Source organism: Homo sapiens, chromosome 7 (assembly GCF_000001405.40).
Source record: "Homo sapiens chromosome 7, GRCh38.p14 Primary Assembly".
NCBI classification, from domain to species: Eukaryota; Metazoa; Chordata; class Mammalia; order Primates; family Hominidae; genus Homo; species Homo sapiens.
This window is the reverse complement of record NC_000007.14, coordinates 112,370,190-112,392,777: the sequence shown is the minus strand read 5'-3', so window position 1 is coordinate 112,392,777 and position 22,588 is coordinate 112,370,190. Positions and strand designations below refer to the sequence as shown.

At 40.6% G+C, this 22,588-nt stretch overlaps 1 long non-coding RNA gene and 3 pseudogenes across 1 annotated transcript, besides 1 other annotated feature; 2 read left to right on the top strand and 2 right to left on the bottom strand.

Annotated features, from left to right (window-relative positions):
- Nucleotides 1–510: an enhancer, noted in NCBI's record as "H3K27ac-H3K4me1 hESC enhancer chr7:112032323-112032832 (GRCh37/hg19 assembly coordinates)". NCBI's record gives its function as "activates a minimal SCP1, AML or CMV promoter by ChIP-STARR-seq in primed H9 embryonic stem cells {active_cell/tissue: H9 hESC(primed)}" and the evidence as "EXISTENCE:reporter gene assay evidence [ECO:0000049][PMID:30033119]".
- Nucleotides 1,441–22,248, top strand: LOC105375456 (uncharacterized). The gene is made up of 3 exons (XR_927870.3): nt 1,441–1,495; nt 7,674–7,839; nt 21,467–22,248. It is a non-coding gene; the product is annotated as an uncharacterized LOC105375456 (long non-coding RNA).
- MTCYBP24 (MT-CYB pseudogene 24) lies at nt 17,349–18,454 on the bottom strand (annotated as a pseudogene).
- MTND6P24 (MT-ND6 pseudogene 24) lies at nt 18,528–19,045 on the top strand (annotated as a pseudogene).
- On the bottom strand, nt 19,055–20,131 carry MTND5P8 (MT-ND5 pseudogene 8; annotated as a pseudogene).
- Nucleotides 22,249–22,588: the final 340 nt, after the last annotated feature.

Here is a 22,588-nt window from a genome sequence, read left to right as displayed (position 1 = left end):
CACTATTCTAAAGCAGCCAACAAAACTGACAAAAATCCCTGCTCTTATGGAGCTTGTAAGTTAGTGAGTGGAGACAGATAACAGGTAAACAACTACACAGCATGTGAAAGGGTAAGGGACGGAGGAGCCGGGCACGGTGGCTCACACATGTAACCCCAGCATTTTGGAAGGCCAAGGCGGGCGGATCACTCGGGGGGAGTTTGTGAGAAGCCTGGGCAACATGGTGATACATCGTCTATTCAAAAAAATAAAAATAAAAGATAACCGGGCATGATGGCACGTGTCTGTGGACCCAGCTACTTGGGAGGTTGAGAGAAGGATCACTTGAGCCCAGAAGGTTGAGTCTGCAGTGAGCTGTGATTGTGCCACTGCTCTCCAGCCTTGGCGACAGAGAGAAACTCTGTCTCAAAAAAAAAAATTTCAATGAAGAAAAATAAGATTGGAAGAGAGGATCAGGAAGGCCTGAGGGAGAGTGATTTTTATTTTTTAAAAGATATTCAGGGGAAGCCTCACTAAAAACAGAATATTTGAGCAAATCCCTGAAGGAAATGAGGAAGAAAGCCATGTGGACATAGAATAGTGTTCCAGGAAGAGGGAACAGCAAATGCAAAGGTTCTGAGGTAGAAGCATGGCTGGTGGTGCTGAGGCAGCCGCGTGCCTGGTGGTTCTAAGGTAGACGCGTGCCCGGTGTTTCTGAGGCGGGCGCATGCCCGGTGGCTCTAAGGCGGGCGCGTGCCCGGTGTTTCTGAGGCAGCCGCGGGCCCGGTGTTTCAGAGGCGGACGCATGCCCGGTGTTTCTGAGGCGGGCGCGTGCCCGGTGGCTCTAAGGCGGGCGCGTGCCCGGTGTTTCTGAGGCAGCCGCGGGCCCGGTGTTTCAGAGGCGGACGCGTGCCCGGTGTTTCAGAGGCGGACGCATGCCCGGTGGCTCTAAGGCGGGCGCGTGCCCGGTGTTTCTGAGGCAGCCGCGGGCCCAGTGTTTCAGAGGCGGACGCGTGCCCGGTGTTTCTGAGGCGGGCGCATGCCCGGTGGCTCTAAGGCGGGCGCGTGCCCGGTGTTTCTGAGGCAGCCGCGGGCCCGGTGTTTCAGAGGCGGACGCGTGCCCGGTGTTTCTGAGGCGGGCGCGTGCCCGGTGTTTCAGAGGCAGCCGCGGGCCCGGTGTTTCAGAGGCGGACGCGTGCCCGGTGTTTCAGAGGCGGACGCATGCCCGGTGGCTCTAAGGCGGGCACGTGCCCGGTGTTTCTGAGGCAGCCGCGGGCCCAGTGTTTCAGAGGCGGACGCGTGCCCGGTGTTTCTGAGGCGGGCGCATGCCCGGTGGCTCTAAGGCGGGCGCGTGCCCGGTGTTTCTGAGGCAGCCGCGGGCCCAGTGTTTCAGAGGCGGACGCGTGCCCGGTGTTTCTGAGGCGGGCGCGTGCCCGGTGTTTCTGAGGCGGACGCGTGCCCGGTGGCTCTGAGGCAGACGCGTGCCTGGTATATTGGGAGAACAGCATAGAACAAAGTGAGTGGGAGCAACGAGAGCAATAAGAAATAAATTAGAAAGCTAAATCAGCTGAGTTAAATAAGTAATAAGTTAGATAAGTTAGATAACCGGTTAGAACCAGTTCCAGTTTGAAGATAGTAAGAATGAGAAGCTTCTGAAATATCGTTGGAGTGAATATATCCAGTGGGAGTGGGCTCTTTGAATCTGGACTTTATTAAGCAAATATTTCTTGAGCACGTGCTATGTGCTAGACATTGAAATAAGTGCTAAGGACATAGAGGTGACCCCAGACACAGTTATTCTTGTCTTCAAGGATCTCAAAATCAGACAAGTAAGCAAATGCTGACAATACATACATAACTGCAATGATAAGGAATAGGAACACCGGGCACCGGGTATGGTGTGCTGGGGAGGGTGTCGAAGGGGCACCTAACACAATTATTCGGAGTGAGGGGGATCAGGGAAGTTTTCCTACAGGAGTGACCTCTAAGCCAAGACTTGAAGTAGAAGCAGTTTGCTCCACAAAGGAGAAAATAGTCTGATTTCTTGACAAGTGTGAGAACCACTGTGCTCCCAAACAATCTACATAGACCTAGGATAAGTAACAAGACAGACATTTACATGGGGTTGCTGCTTTTCAAGGCACTGTCCACATATTATTTTATGAGGCCTTCACGACGATCCTGAGAAGTAAGCAGTGCAGGGTTATTATCACCATTTTACATGTGACCAGGTTGAGGTCCAGAGAGATGAAATGACTCCCCGAGGACACAAGACCAGTACCTGCCAGAACCAGGGCCCGAATGTGGTTGATACATATGCAGCACTTACTATGTGTCCGGCAATATATTAAGCACTTTACAAGCAGTAATCTATTTACTTCTGACAAAAGTCCTATGCCATCCCCATTTTACAGATGAGGAGACTGAGGCACAGAGAGGTTACACCTTGCCCAAGGCCACACAGCTAGTAAGCGGTGAAGCCAGAATTGAAACTCAGTCATCTGGCATGAGAGCACTCGTTCATACCCTCCATACCATATTGCCCGTAGTTAGAAGAATTGCAGTCATTACTGAGACAAAGAGAGGTACACCTGTATAAGTGTGTATATGTATATATGGGGTGGAGTGAGGTGGGACAGGTGTTCTCTCCTGGTAGTCTTGAATTACACCATTATCGCTATCATCTATATTGGGATGGCCAAATGGGCTTTATAAATGAAATATGTGTTCATTTTGTATAATCTTGTTTAACTAGGAGAAACTTCTCTTATAAAAGGGAGGAAGGGATGGCTTGGTTTCTATGATCTGGGAATTGTCTTGAGGTTCCTCTAGTTTTGTTGCCTCCTCCACTCATAAGCTTTCCAGATCCTGCAGAGTGTGTACAGAGAAGAGTCATGTACTGGATATCACAACGCAGGGATCTGACTGCTTCAGAAATACACTGTCAGTGAGACATCCCAGTGAAGGCTGTTCCCTTTAAACCCGTTTCTTGAGGTGGGCTCTGAGGCTGCCATTCCTCAAAACATTTATGTAACTCTTCCACTCAGAGGTGGACCCTATGACATATAGAGAACGTTCATCCTTACAGCAAGGAACTGCGGGAATGTCTAAGGGACATTCATAGCCAAGTCTATTAATAAGGTTTTCATTCTTACCAACTTAATTGAAGTCTAATTTCTATACCATAAAGTTCGCCCATTATAAATGTACAAGTCAATGACTCTTATGAATGTGTAGAGTTGTACAGCCATCATTGAAACCCAGTCTCAGGATGTTTCCATCACTGCATAAAGCTCCGTGGTGTCCATTTACAGTTAATCCCCACTCCCATCCTCCTGCTTTAGGCAACCACTGATCCCATTCCGTCTTTATAAATTTGCCTTTTCTAGATACTTCATATGAATGGGATCATACAATACGTGGCTTCTTCCACTTTGTATTATGTTTTCAAGGTGTTGTAGTATGTATCAGTACTTTTATTTTATTGTTGAATAGTATTTCATAATGTATGTACATTTTGTTTACCCATTCACCTGTTGATGGGCATTTAGGTTGTTTCTAGTTTTTGGCTATTATGAATAATGCTGCTATAAACATTCACATGCATGTCTGTCTGTGGACATGTGTTCATTTCCGTAGAATAAGAATTTTTTTTTTGAGACTGAGTTTCACTCTTGTTGCCCAGGCTGGAGTGCAATGGTGTGACCTCGGCTCACTGCAACCTCCTGGGTTGAACTGCCTCCTGGGTTCAAGCGATTCTCCTGCCTCAGCCTCCTGAGTAGCTGGGATTATAGGCATGTGCCACCATGCCCAGCTAATTTTGTATTTTTAGTAGAGACGGGGTTTCACTATGTTGGTCAGGCTGGTCTTGAACTCCTGATCTTAGGTGATCTGCCCTCCTCGGCCTCCCAAAGTGCTGGGATTACAGGCATGAGCTACCGTGCTCGGCCAGAATAAGGATTTTTAAGTGTGCAATTCAGTGGCTTTTAGTATGGTCATAGAGTCATACAAACGTCATTATTATCTAATTCTAAAACATTTTCATCATCCCCAAAAGAAACCCCATACCCATTAGCAACCACTCCTTTTTTTTCTCTTCCCTCCATCCCCTGGTAACCATGAGTCTACTCTCTGTTTTAGTGGATTTGCCTACTCTTGACATCTCATATAAAAGGAGTCATGCCATGTGTGGCCTTTTGTGACTGAGTTCTTTAACTTAGCTTAATGTTTTCACGATTCATCCATGTTGTAGCACGTGTCAGTAATTACTTTTTTTTTTTTTTTTGTCGCCCAGGCTGGAGTGCAGTGGTATGATCTCAGCTCACTGCAATCTCTGCCTCCCAGGTTCAAGTGATTCTCGTGCCTCAGCCTCCCGAGTAGCTGAGACTACAGGTGCAAACCACCGGCATGCCCGGCTAATTTTTGTATTTTTAGTAGAGACGGGGTTTTGCCATGTTGGCCAGGGTCATCTGGAACTCCTGACCTCAAGTGACCCGTCTGCCTCAGCCTCCCAAAGTGCTGGGATTACCATGCTAGGCTTAGTATTTTACTCTTTTTTGTATCAGGTAACCAAGTATTTTATTCTTTTTTGTACCAAAAAAAGTGTGGATGTACCATACTTTTTTATCAATTCATCAGTTGATGGTCATTGAGTTGTTTTTACTTTTTGGCTATTATGAATAATGCTGTTATGAACATTTGTGCACATGTTTTTGTGTGGGCATGTTTTGAATCCTCACTTCTCTTGGGTATATATCTAGGAGTAGACTTGCTGGGTCATATGCGAACTCTAAGTTTAACTTTTTGAGGAACTGCTAAACTGTTTTCCGAAGTAGTGGTATCATGTTACAGTCCCATAGGCAATGTGTGAGGGCTCCAATTTTTCCACATTCTCAGCAATGCTTGTTATTATCTGTATTTTTTCTTAATAGCCATCCTAGTGGGTGTTGAATAAGGTTTTGACCAAGGTTTTGGCAAAATTAAGTAAAACTAACACCACCACCAAGAACAAGAACAAGAATACCACAGGTTAATAGCAATGTAAAAAAGGAGTTCTTGTGTGGTACATAATTTGATTATTAAAAATTCCCAAATAGTTGCTCTATAAGAGTCTAGAGAAACCGTAGCATTGTATATCTGAACATGGCTTTCGGTGGGACTATTTAAAGGTCAACACTAATCTCTCCCCACTTCTGTCTGATCATACAGAGGCTTTGGAGATTCATAGGTGGCACGTATGAAGACAAATTAGTAAGAATCCTTTGGAGGGCAATTTAGCAATAAAGTTTCAGAGGCCTTAGACCCAAAAATTTCAGCTCTCAGAATTTATCCTAAGAAATTTAGAATTTATCTCTGATTCTGATCAATCAGAATTTATCTCTAGAGACACTCAAAATTTATGCACAAGGATGTTTATTACAATATTACTTATAAAGACAGTTACCAAAGACTAAATCCTTGAATCTTTACATCTTTATTCTTATCTACATTTTTTCAAATGTTCTATGGTTCCTTTATATAATTAAAGCAATTCAGTGTAAGTGTTATTTCTTAAAAACTCTATTCCATCTTGAAGGTCTAGTTTAAGGATGCATCTTTCTTCATGCCTTCCTCAGTCATCCAGTGGTTCCTCTTCCTTGGCATTTCAGGTGCATCTAGGTCTGGGTCTAAAGCAAAAAACAAGAGAGGGATTGCTTGTAATGGCAGAGACCTGTCACTAAAAGTGACTTATTAACCAGGTTTCTAACTATTCAAGAAACTGATTATACTTCTTTTGCTTACTTAAGAGTTGTGTCTGAGATCATCAGTAAGTGGGGGAAAAAATTCTTTTTCTAAGTTAGGCTGTGAAAATTCACTTTTAACCAGCTCAGAAGGGGTTAATCACACCTAGTATGCTTCCTAAGAGCATAAGATAGCAACATCCCTGAGTTGAGCCTCTGGAGTTTACTGCTGGTTTACTCCTGTAACTAAGGAGAGAAGCTATTACATGCAGACAGTGATCCATGACAAAATCTCACAAGGCTCCTCTATAGTGAGCTAATCAAATAATAACAACCTTGTAGTAATAGTTATGCTCCAACAGCCATGCAGCTTCCCAGAAACTGCTTATTAAACCTCAGAGCATTACGCATACTTCATGAGCAGTTTCACTAACAGGTTTTAATCTATAAGTTGGAACATTTGCCTCATACAGGGAGAAAATCTGTCAAAGGAAATTAAATGTGTGTGTGTGTATACATATATACATACATATATATTTATTACTATAGAATGTGGCATCGTTTTATCATCCACACAAAAATGCCTAGGCAGACAGCAAAGAGCCTCAGAGCATGCTTTTTTTCGGTCCAAATAAATAATAATGGATAATTTGTAAAGTGTTAATTATATTGAATTACAATTAGTAATATCTAAGTATGAGGTTGTTATGTGATATATTTCATTCACTGTTCAACCAACTGCTTTAATTATAATTTTGGTTATGTTTTCTGCACTAATAAAAGAAAAATATCACCTGCTCTACTGGATTATACCAACAGGCACAATAATTTTAGGAAGCAATGAACCTTAGTAGAAATTCATGAAGAAAATTTACATATACCACAATCTAAGAATATTTTAGAAAATATTGTATCTATATATTTGAATGGACTTGTAATAGGCAATTAATACTAGCAAACAAACATTCCTCTACTTTATAAAAATAACAATAAAATGTCATTAGGAAAGCCATCACAAAAAACTTTATGAAAGACAGAAAATCAGAGAGAGAAAGAAGAAGAAAGAAAGGAGAAAAAAATTAGAAAGACAAAATTCCAGGTGTCAGGGTCTTGGAACAAAATGATATTAGAAATGTTCTCCTTCCCAGGTAGCCCTCATGGCTCATATCTATATTAATGTATATGAATCGATATTGCTATCTTTTTATTCTTTTTGATTAATAGTTGAAATTATTAAAACTTTTTTCTCTTAGCTGTAAGCATAAACTGAGCAATATGAGTGAAATCTTAGTAAACTCTACCTTGGAATCTTATGTCAGGGAAATGGCCCAGAGTCAGGTGACTCTGGTTCAAAAGGACAAAAGTGTTCCAAGGTCTTTCTTGGGCCAACAGTAGTAATCTCATGTGTTGTGTACCAGAGACTTTTGATTTATAAAGATGGCAAAGGACTGGGAGGCTTGCTAAGTGCACACACACAGAGAACGAAGATTTTTCAGAGGCCAGGGTTTTAAAAAACTCAACAGGAAAAGGGGCCATCCGCATTGAGTCCCTTACAATCATCCAGACGCTGGATACTGGGTTTAACCAATCTTAGAACATGCTTTTTGAAGTCAAGAAGTAGAATATCTAAAGAACAATGCCAGGCACACCACGTGGTGCCAGCTTAGCTGATGGGTCCCTGTCAGAGGGCTTCCTGAGGGCAGCCAGGTCAGACCTGGCTCAGCAATTCATGCCTTCCTGCAACTGTGTCGATAGCTGCTCTACCGGGCCTGGCAGAATGAGAGAGAGAAGAGCATCTGCCATGCCCCCTGCCGTTTCTGCTCAGATGACCCCCACCTCCACCCCCAGTTTGTAGAACAGTAGTCCAGGAAAAATATCCTACCCCCAGGTCTGGGCATAAAGAAGGGAGTGGGTGGCTAGTCTAGGTCTTTGAGCTTCAACCACTGCACCCCTAACTGTCGACTTCTGTTTAAGATGCAGATGCTAAGAGGACTCCATTCTGATGACTGTCTATATCAAGGCCTCCTACCCTCAGGGAATTGGGTGAGCTGTTCCTGTTGATGAAGCTATGGGGCTCTCCTATGGGAGATACCAGTATTTGCATATGGGACTTGGTGCCTAGATTGGAGCTGGCTTTGGGGTAAGTGGAACAGAGACTTCTTGAAGCTCTCATGTAGATTAATCCAAGTCTCCTGGAAGTGGCTGCTATGTCTCAGCTTCTCCCTGGCCCAGTGTGACTGCCCCTCATGGTCCTTCACACTGGGGACTTCTCCATGTTATACCTTCAGCTTCCTGGCCCAGGAGGGATCCTTAACAATCCATTACCTCAAACAGATGCAAAACCCAGCAATATAGTGATACTAAAAAGACCTCCAAGACCAAATCCTGGTGAAAATAGCTTAGCCCGTATGAAGATCCCATGATTCTAAAATATACAAATAATTCATTCCTGAGCTATTAATGTCCACTGACTATTCGCTCAACACTGATGAAGATGTTGGGGATTCATCAGTGCATGAAAGAGATGAAAATCCCTGCTAGGGAGAAAAATAAAGTAGGGAAGAGGAGGACAGAAGGGGGATAGAGTGGGTTGCAGTCACAAATAGGGTGGCCAGAGGTTTCACTGTGGAAGTGCTGCGTTTGAGCAGACTTGAAAGAGGTGAGACTGAGTCATGTGGTACCCAGAGGAAGAGCGTTCCAGGCAGAAGGGACAGCGAGTGCAAAGGCCCTCGGCTGGGAGCATGGCTGGCTTGGGCAAGGAGTGACAGGGAGGCTGATGTGCCAGGATCAGAGTAAGCAAGAGAGAGAGCCGTGGAGAATGAGGTAAAGGAGGATCAAGTCGTGTGAGTCCTCACAGGGCCTGAAAGGACTTTGGCTTTTGCTCTGGGTGAAATGAGGACTCCTAGGAGCATTTTGAGCCGAGAAGAAAAAAGGCCTGACTTACATCCTGTTAGGAGTCCTCTGCCTGTAATGGGTCAGCTCACAGCACTCGCCTGGTTGGCTTGATGATGCCCACACTAAGTGCAGGTGAAGCCTCGGAGAAGGAAGAAAGGAAGTAGAAAGAGCAGCCAAGCAGGAGGAGGAGCAACAGGCACAGGAGGTGAGGGAGGCTGTGATTTGGAGCAGCAGGGGAAAACATGGAGTCCACATTTGCTGACAGTGGAGGAGTGACAGCTGGCACAGAGATGGAGGTGATGTGAACACAGGTGTAGGATTACATCAGTCTAGAGCCAAACCCCTAACCCACCTCCATGACCCTGGAGGGCTTCAGAACAACTATGATTTGACACATGAAGAAAAAGTTAAAATGTGACCAAAAGAGGGCGTGGTTTTCACTTTCTTCTTTCATGAGGTTACGTCTTGGGAACAGTCTGCCAGACATGCCTCCCCGCTTGCATTATGTGTGTCCCATGCTGGTATCTGCTTTTAATGAACATTGTAAGCCACTTTGCACATGAGCATATACCAGTTGCTACTGGTGAGATATTAAACACCTATTTTATAATCAGCCTTTGGAAAATCCAAGGTATACAGGGGAAGAGTACAAAGAAATCCCGAAAGCCTGGTGCTGAGCAAACACAGAAAATGCAAGATTTCTGATCAGCAACTTGGGACAAGTGACCAATTTGACACCGGCCCCTGTGCCTGGTGTAAAGTAGAGGATCAAAGATGTAAAGGCCCTGGGAGAGGCAGGTGGGTGGGGATGTGATGATAGGTGACTTTTTGGGGGGCCACCCTGCATCTTTTCCATTTGATTTCAAAAGTAAAGGTTATTCATTGCAGTTTCCCTCACAAAATTACAGAAGAGTGTGAAGTTTAAAAAATCCTTCCTCTCTAATCCCTCTAACCACAAATAGTCACAGTTAACAATTTGATGTTTATCATCTAGAGTTTTTTCTGCACATGTATACTTTCTTATGTATATATATTATATATATTCCTATTACATATATACAGACAAACACATATGCATATTTAAACAATGAAACCGGAGTTCTCCTTTACTTATTTTTCTCTCTCCTTCCCTGAACCCCTTACTTCTTCATGGCTTTCACTCCAGATTAGGGTGTATAGATCTGCCTCATTTTTAAAAATATTTTTTTCTATTCTAAAATTAATATGGGCTGGGTGTGGTGGCTCACACCTGCAATACCAGCACTTTGGGAGGCTGAGGTGGGCGGATCACTTGAAGTCAGGAGTTCAAGACCAGACTGGCCAACACGGTGAAACCACGTCTCTACTAAAAATACAAAAATTAGCTGGGTGTGGTGGCATGCATCTGTAATCCCAGCTACTCTAGAGGCTGAGGCAGGAGAATTGCTTGAACCTGGGAAGTAGAGGTTGCAGTTAACTGAGATCCTGCCACTGCACTCCAGCCTGAGTAACAGAGTGAGACTCTGTCTCAAAAAAAAAATTCACATGGAACCAAAAGAGTCCAAATCACCAAAGCAATGCTAAACAAAAAGAACAAAGCCAGAGGCATCACATTACTCAACTTCTAACTATACTACAAGGCTGCAGTAACCAAAACAGCGAGGTACTAGTACAAAAGCAGACACATAGATGAATGGAACAGAATAGGGAACAAAATAGGGAACCCAGAAATAAAGCCACACACCTACAACCACCTGATTTTTGATGAAGTCAACAAAAATAACCAATGGGGAAAGGATTTTCTATTTAGTAAATGGTGCTAGGATAGCTAGTTAGCCATATGCAGAAGAATGAAACTGGACCGCTAGCTTTTACCATATACAAAAATTAACTCAAGATAGATTAAAGACTTAAAGGTAAGGTTTCAAACTATAAGAATCCTAGAAGAAAACCTAGGAAGTACCATTCTAGACATCAACCTTGGGAAAGAATTTATGACTAAGCTCTCAAAAGCAATTGCAATAAAAACAAAAATTGACAAGTCAGACCTAATTAAACTAAAGAGCTTTTCACAACAAAAAAAACTATCAACAGAATAAACAGATAGCATACAGAATGAAAGAAAATATTCGCAACAAAGGTCTATTATCCAGAATCTATAAGAAACTTAATTCAACAAGTAAAAAACAAATAACCCCATTAAAAAGTAGACAAAAGACAGGAACAGACACTTCTCAAAAGAAGACAGAGAAGCAGCCAACAAACATGAGAAGTGTTCAACATCACTAATCATCAGAGAACTGCAAATAAAAACCACAATGAGATAACATCTTACACCAGATGTTATCTGTCAGTCAGAATGGCTATTATTAAAAAGTCAAAAGGCAACAGATATTGGTGAGGCTGCAGAGAAAAAGGAATGCTTATACGTTGTTGGTGGGAATGTGTATTAGTTTAGCCACTGTGGAAAGCAGTTTGGAGATGTCTCAAAAAACTTAAAACGAAACTACCAATCAACCCAGTAATTCCATTACTGGGTATGTATCCAAAAAAATTGTTCTATCAAAAAGACACACACTCATATGTTCATCACTATTCACAATAGCACAGACATGGAATCTACCAAGGTGTTCATCAACGGTGGATTGGAGAAAGAAAATGTGGCACATATACACGATGGAATATTACACAGCCATGAAAAAAAACCCAAAAATATGTCCTTTGCAGCAACATGGATGCAGCTGGAGGCCATTATCCTAAGAAAATTAAAGCAGGAACAGAAAACCAAATACTGCATGTTCTCACTTATAAGTGGGAGCTAAACCTTAGGTACTCATGGACATTAAGTCCATGGCAACAATAGACATTGGGGATTACTATAGCATGAGGGAGCAGGGAAAGGGTACTATGGTCACTACCTGCATATGGAATCGTTTGTACCCCAAATCTTAGCATCAAGCAATATACCCACATAACAAACCTGTACATGCACTCCCTGAATCTAAAATAAAACTTGAATAAAAAAAAAACTGACTGAACTTAGCCAACTGCTAAACCCTTACATCCTGAAGCCACTTGTTGTTTATTTGATGCCAATATGGATTATTATTCTCATTAAGGATCTGTAAGGTAACTTAAATTTTAATGCTGTGTGGATGGAGTAGAGAATGGAAGGCTGGAAAGTCAGGAGGAAAGGATAAATAAATTTAAAAAATGTTTATTGATCATTTTATTATGTAGTATCTTTATCATGCACATAAACGTAATTGTAGTTTTTTTCTCCTTTAATACAGTTGAATCTTTTATGGCTTCTATTTTTCTTTTAGTTCTCTCATGCTTACTTCCAGAACTTCTACGGTTTCATTTTTCTCCAGCTTACATTGAAGGGTAATGGTTACTCTGGGGATAATGGTTATGTTCATTACCTTCATTGTGGTGGTAATGGTTTCATAGATACATCAAAACTTATCAAATTGTAGGTGAATTAAATATTTTAAATATGCCCATTAAAAGTTTTACTATTGTAATGTAAATTAACTAATTAAATAGATTTTTAAAAAATTGTGGTATAATGTACATAGCATAAAATTTGCCATCTTAACCATTTTAAGTGTACAGTTAGTTAGTTCAGTGGCGTTAAGTACGTTCTCATTGTTGCGTGCCTCACTTTTCTTAAGCCATGGGATAGCAGAAGAGTCACAAATGTGGGCTTTGGAATCTGGCTGCCTAGGTTCAAATCCCAGCTCCTGTGCCTACCACACAGCTTCTGTGTAGTCTCAGGCAAGCCATTTATCCTAGATGCCTCCATTTGATAATCTGTGGTGTTATTACCTCAATTTCTAAAATTGGGGTAATAACACCATCTATCTCATAGCAGTGTTGTAAAGCTCAAACACATATTAACAATTAAATTACTTATAACAGGGTCTAGCATGCAAGAATAATTAACTATAGGGCAAATTGTATTTAATTAGAAGGATATATCATAATTAATAATGCCCTATAAATGGCCGGTTAGTATATTTTGATAGATAGCTGTTAGCCATACTGGAGGCACCAATTCAAATTTTAACTTGTTCTTTTATGCTTCCCTTTAGACACATGATACCAAAGTATTTAGCCTTTTATAAGGTAGGATATTTCATAAATCTGAGAAAGCTAAGTGCAGGAAACATCCTGCCCTGGAATAAATTTAGTTGGATCTATATCTCACACAACACATAAGGATAAACTCTAAGGTCATCAAAGACTTCAAGATAAACTGGGAAAAAAATGAAGCATAAAAGTTCTAGAAGTAAGCTTGAGAGAATTGCTATATAACTTTAGAGAGGGGAATACTTTCTAACTAAAAGGAAAACAGAAGCCATAAAAGATTCAACTATATAAAGGGGGAAAAGAACTACAACTACATTTATGTGCATGATACAGACACTACAAAGTAAAAAAAATCAAGAAAGTTTGTATTTCATTTAAAGATGAAAGGGTAATCTTGGTATATAAGATGTGCTTAGAAATTGTGTGTGTGTGTGTTGTTTTTTTTTTTAAAAAAAGACCAAGAATCCAGGGGGGAAAAATGAGCACAGGACATGAGCAGATAGTTCACATAGAAATAAACATTCAAGGCTCATAAATATATACAAATGTTCAAACTCACACATAAGAGAAATGCAATTGAAGCTATACTAAGATATTATTTTCCCTATCAGATTAGTAAAATCCAGAAGTTTGACAACATTCTGTTGGTAAGACTGTGGGGAACAGGCACTCATATATCACTAAAGAAAGTATAAATTTGGTTCAAACTTTTTGGAGGACAACTTGGCAACATCTATTGCAGTAAGCTAAATGGTGGCCCCAAAGACCTGTTCATGTTCTAATCCCTGGGACCTGGGAATATTCATTTATATGACAAAAGATTAAGTTAAGGATCTTGAAAGGAGGCATTTACCCTGAATTATTTGAGTGGGCCCTAAATGCAATCACATGTGTAATATGATCACATGTATAATAAGACCACATGTGCAATAAGAGAGAGGCAGAGGGAGTTTTTAAGTGACATACAGAGAAGATATAAAGAGAGGAAGGCCATGTGAAGCTGCAGGCAGAGACTGGAGTGATATAGCTGCAAGCCAAGGAGCTCTTACAGCCACCAGAAGCTGGAAGAGGCAAGGAATGGATTCTCCTCTAGAGTCTGAAAGGGATGTGACCCTGCAGACACCTTTTTTGCAGACTTGATTTCAGAATTCTGGCACCCAGCATTGTGAGACAGTAAATTTCGTTGTTTTAAGCCACCAAGGCTGCAGCAATGTGTTACAGCAGCCACAGGAAACTAATACATAATTAAACTTACAAAGATTAGTAAAATTAGAAATTCAAACAAATTACAAATAAAATGCAATGACAAATATAAATGTTGGAGACATGACCATCCCTCTTCCCACTCAGAGGCAGTTGGAAAGGTGAAAGAGCACACATTGGCTGACCACTGTGACAGAGGGTGCTGCTGCTGACATTTTGGGAGCAAGGAGCAGTAATACTAAACAGGCATGTCAGTGTTGTGTGTAATAGTAACAGATTGGAAATGACCCAAATGTCCTTGGAATAGTCAAATAATAAGTTGTTATATATCCATACAATGGACTACTATGCAACTGTTTTAAAAGATTGAGAAACTTCTCGATGAACTAATATGGAAATATTCCAAAATATGTTAAGTGGAAAGGGCAAGGTATAAGACAATATACACAGAATGCTAACATTTATATAAAAGGGAGGGAGGAGAATACAAAGCTATATTCATATATAATTTTATAAATGTGATTATCCAAGAAATGGTTTGCAGGCAGAGGTGAGAATGTGATGGATGAAATTAGAGTGGCAATTAGGCTTTTCACAATTTGACTTTTGCTATATATTTTTAAAGTTTTTAATCATGTGAATATAGTGCTATTAAAATATATATATATATCTGCCGGGCACAGTGGCTCACGCCTGTAATCCTAGCACTTTGGGAGGCCGAAGCGGGCGGGTCACGAGGTCAGGAGATCAAGACCATCCTGGCTAACACGGTGAAACCCCGTCTATACTAAAAGTACAAAAAGTTAGCTGGGTGTGGTAGCACGCGCCTGTAGTCCCAGCTACTCGGGAGGCTGAGGCAGGAGAATCGCTTGAACCGGGGAGGCGGAAGTTGCAGTGAGCCGAGATTGCACCACTGCACTCCAGCCTAGGTGACAGACAAAGCAAGACTCTGTCTAAAAACAAACAAACAAACAAACAAAAAACTAAGGCATGAAAAATCTAAGGCTTTCCTCAAACACTTGTGGAGCCTGTGGCCAGAGTACAGATGGAAAGCTACATACTGTAAGTCTAAACATTTAAAAGCTATAAATCAAGCTGGGTGCGGTGGCTCATGCCTGTAATCCCAGCACTCTGTGAGGCCTCTGCAGGCAGATCATTTGAGGCCAGGAGTTCAAGAACAGCCTGGCCAACATGGTGAAACCCCATCTCTACAGAAAATAAATAAATAAAATAATGAAAGTTATAAGTCAAGCCAACAAACAGTTAATTAAAATATGTTCTCTTCTCCTACTTTGAAAAACCTGCTTAATGACAAAATAGAAAAAAGATAAGTATAAAATGTAAAATTTGGCAAAATATCAAACATGATAAAATTAAATTATTATTGTGCATGTCTGGGTGGTCCATTGATAGTCTGGAGATGTTGAGAAGAGCAGTAAATAAAGGCATTTAATTCACAGTGTATTTTATATTTTTTCCATATGTTATTTTTTCCTGTCTTCATTTCAATAAAATCACTAATTATGTAGTTGTAAGCAAGATTTTTGCATAATTCGACTCCTGTAGACAGTAATACCAAATTAGATAATATTTCTTGAGTAATTAAAGTTTTTAGATGTTTTTCTTAATTAGTTTCAATTTGAGGAAACTTCTCTGCTGAGGCAAAAACAACTGGACTTGTCCATAACTTTTCAAAGTAACATTTAGATTAGAAACAAACCATAAAATTTACATATCATGTTCAAACATTATAATGGCATCTTCACTTTAGTTACATTATATAGATCACTAGCACTCAATTGCTCTTCTCTCCATCTCTCAAATAAATATTTAGATCTATACAGTATTTCTTAAATTTCAAAAATTTCGAGCCAGGCACAGTGGTTCACACCTGTAATCCCAGCACTTTGGGAGGCCAAGGCGGATGGATCACTTGAGCTCAGGGGTTCGAGGCCAGCCTGGGCAACATGACAAAACCCTGTCTCTAAAAAATAAAATTAAAATGTCAGTGCTGAGAAATTGTAAAGCAAACTAGAAGTAGCATATGTCCTTCAGTGTTCTATTCAAAGGACTCAAACTCTCGAACTTGCCCAGATCTTCCTGAAGTATGAATACCATTGGCTTCTTTTAAATTGGGAGACTATGTAAATGAAAATAAAATAAATTATGAAAAAGCATCTGTAATACCTAAAAACCTATTATTACAAAGATCGATAATGTGGTTTTAGAAAAAAAGGAACTCTGAAGTAAATCGACACAGGTGAGGATGTGGTCAACATAATGCAGTCAGCAACAAACTAACTCTTCTTTCAAAATATCTCAAATCATAATAGAACTGCAGATGCAATAGCAAACAATTTCACAGAACTGCTAAGAGCACATAGGAAAACCCAAACCAGCCATCTCAGACAGATGGAGATGAATGCATACAGCTATACAGTAAAACTTTCTCTAAAGAGAGTTGCTAGGGGAAGAAAAATTTCAAGTCTCTGAAGAGAAGGTAATTAATCCAATTATTTCAATGAACTTGAGTTTCTCCTTGCTACAATGTTTCTGGAGTATTTATGTGGTTGTAACCTTGACAGTGTGGTCATCTATTTATAATATAGCAGCAAGGGTCTGATACAAAATTCTAATATCATAAAAGTACATCATTAAAATGCTTTATATGGAGTAAGAATTTGAAATTCTGATTACTCACTAAAGGGATATATCTTAAAGTTAATAAGGGAAAGTGGTTACAGTGGAGAGAGAAAACAGAAAGAAAACTGAAGGAGGTCAACTGTAGAAAGAGGACTGGATGAAGTGGGCACTGAATGGATTGACTTATCAAGGGAGACCTATGTTCTTCATAACCCCTATGCTCACCTCTCCAACATGTAAATCACATTGTGTGGCCATGGCCTTTTTATTTGACTGTCTCACTGCTGTACTATAAGCTTAAGGATAAGATGATGACTGTTGTGTTCTCCATTGTGTCTCCAGCAATTACACAAGGTCTAACATACAGTAGGTACTTACTGGTAGATGTTAACTGGATGGATGGATGGGTGGGTGGAAGGATAGAGAGGGATGGAGGAATGGAGGGGTGGGTGGATGGGTGGATGGGTAGACAAGTGGATGAATAGACGAATGGACAGATGGATGGATAGATGGGTGTCAAGAAGCTGCAGATTCCTTGGCTACAATAATTAGGAGTTTCCTCATATCCATGGGAAGCTCAACTGCCAATGCCACAGCCATAGCCACAAACATCTCTCAGACACCACTAATCAATTAGTACTGTTAGTTGGTTAATACTGACATAGTAGTTAAAGTGTGTGCTGTGAAAAAATTCAGGCAGTAGTTTAATTAGAATTTCAGCTTTGGCTGTTGACGGTGAAGCGGGAATGCTTTCTCCCTGAGTTGCCCCGGGGAGGGGATTCTCCATTTCTGGTTTATAAGACCAGAGTATGGAATTGTACTACAAGGACATTTTCATTTAAGAAGTTTATTTTCAATTACGGTAGTGAGTGGTATAAGGGTGAGAATGGTAGAGAAGTACATGATAGATGCTGTCTGTCCGATGGCAATGAAAGGATATTTGACTGGCTGCCCTCTGATTCATGTGAGTGTAAGCAGGTCAGCCACTAGGATTCAGAATAGGCATTGACTTAATAACTTATTATGCTTTGTTGTTTAGACATGTGAAGTACTGGAATAACTGCTAGAATGAGAATGGAATATACGAGGGCCAGTACGCCTCCTAATTTGTTAGGGATAGATCGTAAGATTGCATATGCAAACAAAAAGTACCGCTCTGGCTTAATGTGGGGTGGGGTATTGAGGGGGTTGGCTAAAGTGTAATTATCTGGGTCGCTCAGGAGGTCGGGAAGGAGGAGGAGAAAAATTAAACCTAGAACATCTTTGGTTGTATATTGTCGGGGGGAAGTGATTTTGTCGGGGTCTGATGAAACTCCTGAAGGGTTGTTAGATTCTGTTTCATGCAAGAATAAAAGGTGAACAGTTGCTAGAGCTGTAATGACGAAAGGTAAGATGAAATGGAAGGCAAAAAATCGTGTGAGGGTGGCTTTGTCAAATGAGAATCCCCCTCAGATTCATTGTACAAAGTCAGTTCCAATATATGGGATGGCTGATAGTAAATTTGTAATTACTGTAGTGCCTCAGAATGATATTTGGGCTCATGGGAGCACATAGCCTATGAATGTTGTTGCTATAGTTGTGAATAGGAGAATAATGCCAATATTTCAGGTTTCTGGGAATAGTAATGACCCGTAGTATAACCCTTGGCCAATGTGTAAGAAGAGGCAGATGAAAAATATTGAAGCACCATTAGCATGAAAATAGCAGACCATTTATCCGTAGTTTACCTCTCAGCTGATATGAGTGACTGAAGAGAAGGCAGTTGAGGTGTCTGATGAACAGTGCATGGCCAAAAATAATCCTGTGATGATTTGGAGAATTAGGCAGGCACCAAGAAGTGAGCCAAAGTTTCATCAGGTAGAAATGCTGGAGGCTGTGGGAAGATCAATGACTGAATAGTTAATTTTTATTAGCGGGTGTCTTTTGCGGGTATTCGTCATCAGTATTCTTACAGTTGAAGTACAATGATGGTTTTTCATATCATTAGGTCATGGTTATAGTCCATGTGGAATAATGGTATATGCTTTATTTTTATTAAATGTTCTCTTGGTTATAGAGTTCGTAGGCTTTTCTTTGAAACCTTCTCCTATTTATGGAGGCCTAGGGCTAATTATTAGTGGTGCTGTGGGTTGTGGTATTGTGTTGAATTTTGGTGGGGCTTTCGTGGGGTTAATAGTCTTTTTGATTTATTTGGGTGGTATGATGGTTGTTTTGGGTTATACTGCGGCAATGGCTATTAAGGAATACCCTGAAACACGAGGGTCAAGTATAGACATTTGAGGAGGTTTATTATTAGGATGATTAATAGAGTTGATGTTGGTTCAGTGAATAGTTGAGTACAATGGGCTGGTGATCACAATTGATTTTAAAGTGTAGAGAGTTGGATAATTTTTGAGGGTGAGGGGGTGGGGTTGTGTGAGGATTCTGTGGGTGTGGCTGCCTTCTACAGTTATGGGTGTTGATTAGTGGTAGTTGCTAGTTGATCATTATTTGTTAGTATTTATGTTGCAATTGAAAATACTTGGGGTAATAGATTAGATAATTAATAGTAGTGTTAGAAGGGATGGGATAAAAAAAGAGAGAAAGTAGAGTTTTATTAGGCCTTTTTGAGTAGATACAGTAATGGAGGCTGAAACTTAGATTTGTGAGATGGTCATTGGTATAGACTTTTCTAGTCAAATTACGTCTAGTAGAAGTGAAGCCACATTTTGGTTTGTGAATAGGCTTGAGTGGGGGGTTGAATGGTTGATTGTGGCTGAATAAAAACCTAGTATATTGGAGAAGCTGAATGTCTGTAATGGGTACTTTAGTTTGAGGTTATTAGTTATGAGATTAAGCTCCATTGCTAGTAAGAGGCCTAAGGTGGTTACACCTAGGGCTTTGAGCTTTAAGTGGAGTGGTATAATTGTTTGGGGGGATGAAGCAGGAATAGTACTGTTGGTGATGAGGAACCCAGAGAAGATACTGCTGTATTGTTAGGTGCTTAATTGAGTTAATTAGGAAGGGTTATTTTCGTTAATAATAATCAGAGTTGTGAAGCGAGATTGTCCTATGAGAACGAAGAAAATAATACAGGTACTATAGACAGCTGTTAAGGAGGTGGCAATAAGAGCAATAGAAAGGGCTCAGGTGTTGGTGTATGATGTATTTGCGGTTTCTATAATAAGGTCTTTAGAGTTAAAGCCTGTGAGGAAAGGCATACCTGTAAGTGCAAGGCTACCAATAGTAAGGGAGGAGGAAGTGAAGGGTAAAGTCTTGAACAGTCCTCCTATTTTTTGGATGTCTTGTTCGTCATTGAGGTTATGGCTGATGGAGCCTGAACATATAAATAATATAGCTTTAAAAATGGCATGCGTGCAGATGTTAAGGAATGCTAGATGTGGTTGATTAATGCCAATTGTGACTATTATAAGGCCCAGCTGGCTTGAGGTGAAGAACGCTATGATTTTTTAAATATCATTTTGTGTCAGAGCGCAGATCGCTGTAAATAAGGGGGTAATGGCCCCCAGACATAATGTAAAGGCTTGGATTGGTAGACTATTTTCTATTAAAGGGTAGAAGCGGATGAGCAGGAAAACTCCTGCTACAACTATAGTGCTGGAGTGGAGTAGGGCTGAGCAAGCACAACAGCTTGCTCAAATTCCCAGTGTTCACCTAAAAGGAATTCCAAATATTGGAAGAGAAATTTTAGAAGTCCAAACCTAAAAAAAATAGAAAATATACCACTTTCTCATAACTGGCAACATTTTTCAGGGATAGTTCTGGTCAGGATCAATGTAATTTTTTTAATGAAATATTTTATTAACAGTGTTATTGAGAAATAACTCACATATGATTCCCCCACTTAAAGTACACAATTCAATGGGTTTATAGTATATTCACAGAATTGTGCAACTATCACCACAATGAATTTTGGAACATTTTCATCACCCCAAAAAGCAATCTTATTAGCAGTTTACTTCCCATTTGTCCAGATCCTGGAAACCACTAATCTGCTTTCTGTTTCTATAGATTCCCTATTCTGGACACTTCATATAAATAGAATCATATGACGTTTGGTCTTTCTTCAATTAGTGTGTAATGTTTTCATTCATCCATATTGTAGTATGTATTAGCACTGCCTTTCTTTTTATTGACAAATAATATTCTATTGTACAAATATATTACATATTGTTTATCCATTCATCAATTGATGAATGTTTGGATTGTTTCCACTTTTTGGTTATTATGAATAATGCTACTATAAACATTCATGCACAAGTTTTTGTGTGGACATATGTTTTCATTTCTGGTGGGTTGTATATCTAAGAGTGGAATTGCTGGGTCATGTGGCAACTTTATGTTTAGTCTTTTGAAGTACTGCCAGACTATTTTCCAGGCTATTTTCCAACGTGACTTTGCCATTTCACATTTCCATCAGCAAAGTTTGAAGGTTCCAATTGCTCTACATTTTCATTCACACTTGTTTTCCCCTGTTTTTTCGAACAGAAGGCAGCCTTGTAATATATGCAAAGTTTGACTACTGGGTCCTCCTATTTCCCTTTACTTCTCTCTCTTTCCTAACCAGGTTTTATTTCAAGTATGCATTGCCCTCCTTGGGCAGTGTCCCTTCCCGCTCTCATATACTGTTGTGGCCTAAACTCTAAACCACTGATCCCTCCTTAATTCCCCAACCCTTATGATTTTTACTCAAAGACTTTGAGGATCATCACACTCAAGAAGCATAGGTAAGCAAACCAAAACAATTTCAAAATAACTCAAGTTCTTTACATGATTTCTCAACACTGAGGAAAGGGTTGGGGTAGACATGTAACAAAGTACCCCCATTTTTCTAAGAAAAAGAAAATGGGTTTTAAAAATATTTTTTCTTTTTTCTCCATTTTTCCCTGTTCCTCACTTCCTACTTAGCCCTTTAGTAATACAATTATAATCTTTTACCTCCCTTTCACCAGACACTCTCTACAGTGCAAGTTCATCTAACCATGTGCTTAGAAGCTCCAGAGTGGAGCTCTCACTCACCTGGAGGTTGCCTCAAGAGATGACAGTCAATCTACAATGCAAAATATGCCTGCTGTGAAATTATTTCCTACTTGGAGAGTTTCAGCCACCTTTACAACCTAGTTCTGCCCACAAGGACACCAATGGTCACCAGCTTGATCACCTGGTAGATAGGGCACTAAAGCAAGTTTTGTGGATCCTCACCTGATGCTTCGTCTGCTGCTTGTCATTCATGCTACACCCCCTTTTAAAAGTGCCTGCTTTCTGCTCCAAAAGCAAAGTGTTACCCTTAAGGCAGGAAGCCTGTACTTCTTCCCCCTAAGCTAGTTTTGGAATAAAAATGTCACTTTCTTTATACCAGCCCTCACTCTTGTTAATTAGACTCTGCAAATAGTAAGCAACTGAACCTGTGTTTCAGTTACAGTCACATAGGCAGGTGGCCTAAATCCCTTTCAAAGAAGGACTGACTTCCCAGCTGGGGGTGGATGAGATGGGGTGTGCAGTGAGCTACTTCAGAGGCCTCTTCCTTTCCAGAGCAGCCCACGTTCTATGATGAAGCCCATTGAAGGTGTATAAGCACATTCATTCTGGCTTGGCACAGAACACTCCCTCTATGGCTCCCTGCCAAATTGGCCAAGGCTACTTTCAGCCTGCACTGCAGTTCAACTTCGTCCTTTGCCCAATCCTTGCCTTCTTCCCTTCACAGGTGTTGATTCTTAATAAATACCTTGCACTTCAAACTCCATCTCAGCATTTGCTTCCAGAGAATCCAAGCTATGTGAGTTGGTACCAGGAGTGGCCCAAGAAAACAGGCAATAAGATAAGGTTGTTGAGTAGTTATCAGTTGCCTCTGGGTGGCCATGAGGACTGGTAGTAGGAGGAACACAGATAGCCCTGGGGCAAGGTGGCAGTCCAGTTGTTAAAACTTTGTGAATTTGGAAGGTGTACTGATGGAAGGGAATGAACCAGCTGGAGTGATTTTGGGCATATGAGGTGTATGGAGAAAAGAGCAGCTGCAAGGATAAGGGTATTGGATGGTGACTGCTAAGTGCCAGTGATGCTGTACAGAAACATAA